The sequence below is a fragment of the Homo sapiens genome, chromosome 5 (genome assembly GCF_000001405.40).
Source record: "Homo sapiens chromosome 5, GRCh38.p14 Primary Assembly".
Taxonomy (NCBI): domain Eukaryota; kingdom Metazoa; phylum Chordata; class Mammalia; order Primates; family Hominidae; genus Homo; species Homo sapiens.
Window position 1 is genome coordinate 58,524,157 of NC_000005.10, and position 7,500 is coordinate 58,531,656.

General features: G+C 36.2%; 1 non-coding gene across 1 annotated transcript, besides 2 other annotated features; it reads right to left on the reverse strand.

Moving 5' to 3' along the window:
- Positions 1–5,886: 5,886 nt before the first annotated feature.
- Positions 5,887–5,953, reverse strand: MIR548AE2 (microRNA 548ae-2). The gene has a single exon (NR_039639.1). It is a non-coding gene; the product is annotated as a microRNA 548ae-2 (primary transcript).
- Positions 6,150–6,651: an enhancer, noted in NCBI's record as "NANOG hESC enhancer chr5:57826133-57826634 (GRCh37/hg19 assembly coordinates)". NCBI's record gives its function as "activates a minimal SCP1, AML or CMV promoter by ChIP-STARR-seq in naive H9 embryonic stem cells {active_cell/tissue: H9 hESC(naive)}" and the evidence as "EXISTENCE:reporter gene assay evidence [ECO:0000049][PMID:30033119]".
- Positions 6,673–7,281: an enhancer, noted in NCBI's record as "OCT4-NANOG hESC enhancer chr5:57826656-57827264 (GRCh37/hg19 assembly coordinates)". NCBI's record gives its function as "activates a minimal SCP1, AML or CMV promoter by ChIP-STARR-seq in naive H9 embryonic stem cells {active_cell/tissue: H9 hESC(naive)}" and the evidence as "EXISTENCE:reporter gene assay evidence [ECO:0000049][PMID:30033119]".

Genomic DNA, 7,500 nt, shown 5'->3' on the forward strand with positions numbered 1-7,500 from the left:
GAATTCTCTAAATATTTGCCTGCTCACTAAAAGCCCCTGGGAGACTTAAAACTACAAATTTCTGAGCTACTCCCCAGACTGAATTCAAATCTTCTGGGCTGAAACAGAAATCTGTATTTTTAAAAAATCTCTTTTCCCTTGGTCTGTTTGTTTGTTTTTAAATGGTTGGGAGCATGAAGCAAGAGGTTTCATTAGGCTGTTGAAATGTATGATGTGAGAGGCTCGTGATACCAAATTTAGCTCCCATTAGGTATTAACCTGATGTAGTTTCTCCCTGTTTCCAATCCACCAGCCATGTACCTACCAAGAAGGTTAATAGCTACTATTCCCATTTACTGTGGATGTGAGATCTCTTAGCTCTTATAATCATGCTTAGCTAAAACTTCTAGGAAAATATTGGCAGAATAAATCATTTCTAATTTCTAATTTTATCACCCCTCCCATTTATTTCTCTATTTCCTGTGGTAATTATATGGGCTTAATTCATTATAATTTATTCCCCTTTCTCTTTCCTGAATCTGGTCTTAATTACAGCTGTTACTTTCTTTTGTTCTGCCTTGTCATTTTTGTGGGGGAAAAAGAACAGAAGACCCTAGCGAAGCAGAAGCAGAAGTAGCATTTCATATGGACACCTGTGAAGTTCTTGATTCCCTGCTGACATTTATTCTGCATGCTTACCACACAAGGGGTGGATTATTTCCTCCTGTGAACTTTCATTTAGGTAGAGAGCTTAGGGTCTATGAGCTTTGCAAGGAACCAGGACCTTAGACAAACAACAAAGGAAACAAACATTGACTCTAAAATGCACCAAATAAAACTGCAAAATCCATATTAATAAGAACTAACTAAATATATATTAATTTACTTGTTATTACTAATAATCACAAAAATTGCATTACATTTGAATGTGATTTGTAATTTGTAGCTTAGCTTTTCCTCATTTTGCAAAAATTTTAGAGTATACATGATGATTACTGAGAAATCATAGCCAAATGTTAATTAAATGCATTACCTATAGCCAAATCATTTCAAAAACAAAGTCATAAAATTCACTTCAGTTTTTTTAATGCAAAAAAATATATTTAGGGCATAGGAGCTAACCTGAAAGAACTCCCAGCAGCAAAAACAAACAAGTTGAACAACAAAATAAAATAGTATTAGATTATAATCTAAAGTATAAAATAAATATCCATGAGTCCATACTAACATAAATAAGTCGTTTATACAAAATTAAAATATATTTAATGTGGCAAATGGATAATTTTAATATGTGTCATATAATATGTGGACACCATCAAACTTAAGAATGCCGAAGTCTACTAATGTCCTCAAATATCCCCATTAGGGTAAGTTTCCATTAGGTTCACATCAGGGCTTTAATACGAGTTTGGAAAGTCAGATTATTGTTACATAGTAAACAATTACCACAACCTGCTATGTGGTCATGGTAATTTCAAATATTTTGCCCAAACAAAATCTTATGCAGTACCCCAATATTAAAAATATGTAAGCCCTGGTAACACAGTAAGACCTTGTCTCTACAAAAAATAAGAAAAAAAAAATAGCAAGGTATGTGGGTGCACACTTGTAGTCCCAGCTACTCAGGAAGATGAGGTAGCAGGATTGCATGAGCCCAAGAGTTAGAGGTTGCAGTAAGCCATGGTTGCACCACGGAACTCCAGCCAGGGTCACAGAGTGAGACCTTGCCTCAAAAATAAATAAAATGAAACTAAATACGTAAATGGATAGATTGATCAACATACAGAGAGAGAGAGACGGAGAGAGAGGAAAGATGGAAGGTAGCAGAAATGCTCTGCCTCTTATCCACCTCAGCAACTCAGAGCAGCGCTGCAGAACTTGGAGGTTCTGTGGAACTCAACTTGTAATTTTTGATACAGTGAGGAAAGCTGAATTTTTGAAGGCAAGCTACTGAGTTGGAGAAAATAAATAAAATATACTCATCTGATAAAGGGTGGTGCCCAGAACATAAAATAAACTCTTACAACTGAATAAGAAGACAAAAATTACAATTAAAACAATGCCAAAAGATGTGAAGAAACACTTCACCAGAGAAGATATGTGGATGACAAATAAGCACATGAAAAATTTCACAACATTATTAGATTCTAGGGAAATACAAATTAAAACAAGTTACCCTACATGCTCACTAGAATGGATACAACTAAAAGGACTCCATACCGAGTGTTGGTGATACTGCTTCTCCCAACTAACTTTATTCTGATTAACATTTCTGATTTCCTTCCTAAATAATTACGCTTGGTGGCTTTGAGGGTCTCAAAAAGATTGAAAGTGTATTATTTTACAGACATATCCAAATATCTTATGCAAAATTATGAAAAGAAGCAAGCAGTTTTATATTTTCTATTTCTTATCTTCCCTTTCAGCATCAATATCTTTTTCCTTCCTCTCTAACTTTATATTCCCATCTCTTTTCCATCTCTAACTCCTGGGCCTAAATGCTAACTCCCTCTGTATCAAATGTGTTTGTTTGCCACCAGGAAAGACAGTCTGCATTTGAAAAGGATTTAAACAACCAGTTGTGGAATTTGGACATCTTTGACAACTTGGTAGAGAGTTAATAAGGAAAGGAAGAAGGAAAGGGTTGGGACCAGGGAAAAGGATGTGTCTTTCCCTGGTTAAAATGTATAGACTATTAACTATTTCACCAATGCATTAGGCTGGGCCTAATCCTTGCTAGATTCATTGGAGAAGGGATTGAGGTTGTCATTATAACAAAAATGTGGCTAGAACACATCATTTAAATATTTAATATAAAAACTCATCATTAAATTTACATAATGTAAAAAAAACTCTTGAAAAAAGTTGGTGATACTGTGCTATTATCCTGATTTGTTTCTTTACATTTCTTTCACTTCTCAAAATAAACGGAAACTCAGTATTTCTCTCTTTACTACCACCATTGGATTTCTCTCTCATCCACACTTACTCCAGGATTCCATTAGGAGGGGCCAGCATGTGTCTCCTCCTAACTGCCTATTGTAATCCACATTGCTTTTACTTGTATTTCAAGTTCAGGCCATCCACTAAGGAAATCAAACAAACTTATTTTTGTACAATGGGAGAAAATAAGTTGAATGGTTAAGAACATGACTTTTGAAGTCAAACAGACCTGGATTTAAGTGCTAGCCTGATCTTTCTTAACTATGTAATTTCGAACCTATCATTTTACCTTGTCAGCCTGTTTTCTCATCTATATAAAACAGTGTTAGTAATACCATATTTCCCACAGGTCTGTAAATGCTGGCTATAACAGTTTTCTACCAACTTCAAGACAATTCCAACTGCTAGGAAAATCTCAAAAATCTACCTAGAAACTTGGATTATGCAGGACAAAATATTGTTGGTGATAAAAGTACACCCTGGGTGCCATATAATTTCTTTCAAATCTCTCCACACTCTTTCACTGTATGGCGTAAGCTGCCTGAGGGCAGGGATTGTGTCTGGTTCAGCTAGTGCCTACTTGTATCCAAACCACCAGACTCATCCTTCTCATCTTTCCGACTTTTCTATTTTCTGTCAATGAATCTGGAGGTCACAGAGAGAAGAGATAGGGAGTGAGTGGTATGAATGGGAAAAGTTGGAGGGAAAAGGTGGTTTAAACAAGATTGGTCATTTGTTAAAGTTATTTTAATTGTGGAAGCTGAGTGACAAGTATATAGGGTTCACTATACCATTTTCTCTTCTTTTGTTATTTATTTGAAGTGTTTCATCGTATGTAATATATACATAGTTTACATGTAAACGTACGTACACATATATGTGTATATTATGTATATATGTATGCAGGAATAATAAAAAGCAGATTGTGTGTCTGTGTCATTAAAGGCAGGGGAAGAATAGGAAAAATGGAGTGACCTCTTAATGTATAATTAACTAGGCTTGTAGCTCTGATTGTATCATTAGTGCAACATAATATTCTGATGGTTCCAGGCTTATTGCTTCATCCTGTGTATATTTGGTAAGAAATTGTTGGGTTTTGAGGGGAGTCAAGAAATACCAATCCCTTTCCTCATCCAAATTATGAATTGATTATGAAGATCAGAAGAATAAGGAAGACAGAGAGTAAAGTCCATCATTTCTTACTGACATTGGTTAATTAGAAATGTGTTTTGGGTCCTGTTAGTTAAGTGGGCTTCCTAATACTCTACCCACAAATTGAAAGATTTACACACCCAGTCACAAACACAACTGGATATCCACCAACCTTCCTTGTAAGAACTTGCCCCTGTAAACATTGGGCTTAGAAATTCTAAGTAAAATGTGTGATTTTCTGTGAGCAACTGGATCTTAAAGAGGAAAAAGAAGGAAAGGGCCTGAGACATTTATGTCCAGTTTCTCTTTCCCTGCTCACCAATATCCCTGGAAGAGTGAGTGAGAGGGTGGAAGGGAAGAACTAAGGAATTTCCATCCACATAGAAGGAAAAATGAATGGGATATAAAAGTACCCTTATTAAATGACCAATGGAAGCTTTTACTTGGGAAGTTAAAAGAAAGGCAACATCACAATTCTAGCCATTGGTCTTGTTGTTAGAGTAGATGCCATATTTATTATTACTGTATTAGAAGACTCTTCTATTGACCCCATTAAAGGTGCCTTGAATTTTGCTTAACATCATATCTCAGTGTCATGGGGAAGCTTCATGGCCTTAAAAAGAGAAGATGCCCCAGAAGTATGCTTTCATTGAGGCTGGTGAGAAGCTGGATTTACTTTTTGGTTCAGGCACATTTATTAATAGTTGATGCTTTAGAGAAGGATTGTTTCTATTATATTGACTGTGGTTTGGGAAGAGTGTTTAAAAGTCCAACAGATATTCCTGGCATGAGAACTTTTACCATCTATCACTATTTTGGCATATATTTTCAAAAGTATTAATCATTTTTATATTTGCCTGTAAGATGCCTTCAAATATTCTGCAGCCAGCCCTGGTTAAAAAATTGAGGAAAACATTCTTTTTCATAGAGATGTTTGGCCATTACATGGTTATCTTGTCCTATAATGTCTCCCTGACTTTTAGTAACAGCTGTATTAATAATTTGTCACATCAAGAGTTATTCCCTTCCTTTGAACTCTTCCAGTACTATGTTTGTACCTGTTTTGTGATATTTACTTCATGGCTTGTCTTGTCCATACTGGGGTCTATTCTTACCAGTCCTATAAAATTACAGGTTTCTAAAGGTCTGGAATCATTTCTTGGTCAACTTTTTTATCATCACAGCACCTGTCATAGAGTAAGTACACAATAAATGTCTTTTGAATGCATGAATAATCACATGAAAAAAAATTGAATTTCCTGCCTTTTTTTGTCTAGATTGTTTGTTGTGTTTTTCTCTTACTATTATTCTTTCCTACACAAATCTGCCACTAAACGTTCTTCGCTTTCACATATTTTTTTCTGACATAATCTTTGTTGACTAAATGATCCTGCTCTATGTCTATATCCTCTAATCTTCAGATTTCTAGACTTAAAATATAACAATAAAGAGAAAAAAATTGCTCAGAGAAAATATAGTGATTTAAAATACTTTTTGTACTGTTTTAAAATACCTACTTTATCAAAATAATACATCCAAAGTCATTTTTTAAAAATCAAGTTGTATAGAAGAGCTTTTGGTAAAAAGAAATAATTGGCCCCACGTCTTTTGCTAGCCCTATTTTCTCTCCCTACTTGCAACCACTTTTAACAGTTTTTAGATCTTTTTATAGATACTGTCACATTTCTAAATATGGGGATATCATAATTAATTGGGTCTTCATGTGATCAATGAGGTGCTAGCTTACTTTGACTACCATCCATGATCTCTCCTTTACCTCCTACATATACAGATGTTATTTAATATTAGGTTGGTGTGAAAGTAATTGCAGTTTTTGCCATTACTTTTAAATGACAAAAACCACAATTACTTTTGCACAAACCTAATAATAATTGCCATTGTAACATTACATCGCATGCTTTAACCTTTTATTATCTCACCTATAAATAGTACCTCTTAACATTTTTAAGTTAAGTGCCCCTATCATTACTGTGAACCTCAAAAATCTTAGACAGGTCTTGGTTAATTTACAAAGTTTATTTTGTCAAGGTTGAGGATGTGCACCCATGACACAGCCTCAGGACGTCCTGACGACATGTGCCCTAAATGGTCAGAGCAGTTTGGTTTTATACGTTTTAGGGATACATGAGACATCAATCAACATACGTAAGATGAATATTGGTTCAGTCCAGAAAAGGCAGGACAACTTGAAGCAAAAGAAGGACAATTTGAAGTGGGGAGGGGGCCTTCCAGGTCATAGGTAGATAAGAGACATATGGTTGCATTCTTTTGAGTTTCTGATTAGCCTTTCCAAAGGAGGCAGTCACATATACATTTATCTCAGTGAGCAGAGGGGTGACTTTGAATAGAATGGGAGGCAGGTTTGCCTTAAGCAGTTCCCAGCTTGACTTTTCCCTTTAGCTTAGTGATTGTGGGGCTACGAGATTTATTTTCCCTTCACATTACTTTCACCTAAAGGCACCTATGAATACATATTGAATATTTGTGTCAATTGGGAAAAGACGCTGCTTCAGGTGGACTCAACTCATATGGGCATGGATGATAGGTTTTTGATCTTTGGTACAAAGAAAACATGTCTGATATGGTTTGGATATTTGTCCCTGCTGAAATCTCATGTTGAAATGTACTCCTCAAAGTTGGAGGTAGGGCCTTGAATTAGTCCATTCTCACATTGCTGTAAGGAAATACCAGAGACTGGGTGATTTATAAAGAAAAGAGTTTTAATCGACTCACAGTTCCACATGGCTGAGGAGGCCTCAGAAAACTTACAATCATGATGGAAGGCACCTCTTCTCAGGGCAGCAGGAGAGAGAATGAGTGCCAGCAGGGGAAATGCCAGCTACTTATAAAACCATCAGATCTTGTGAGAACTCACTCATCATGAGAATAGCATGAGGAAACCACCTCTGTGATTCAATTACCTCCCACCAGGTCCCTCCCATGACATGTGGGGATTATGGGGATTACAATTCAAGATGAAATTTGGGTGTGGACAAAGCCAAACCATATTAGGCCTGGTAGGAGGTGTTTGGTTCATAGAGGCAGACCTCTCATGGCTTGGTGCTCTCCTCATGATAGTGAGTGAGTTCTCATGAAACCTGGTTGCTTAAGTGTATGGCACCTGTATCTCCTCTCTCTCTTGCTCTCAGTTTTGCCATTTGAGATTCCTGCTCCCCCTTCACCTTCCACCATGATTGTAAACTTTCTGAGACCTCCCCAGAAGCAGATGTCAGTGCTATGTTTACTCTACAGGTTGCAGAACAGTGAGCCAATTAAACCTCTTTTCTTATAAATTACCCAGCCTCAGGTATTTCTATATAGAAATGAAAGAATGCCCTAATGCAGAAAGTTGCTATCAAGGAGTGAGATATTGCTATAAAAATACCTAAAAATATGGGCATCACT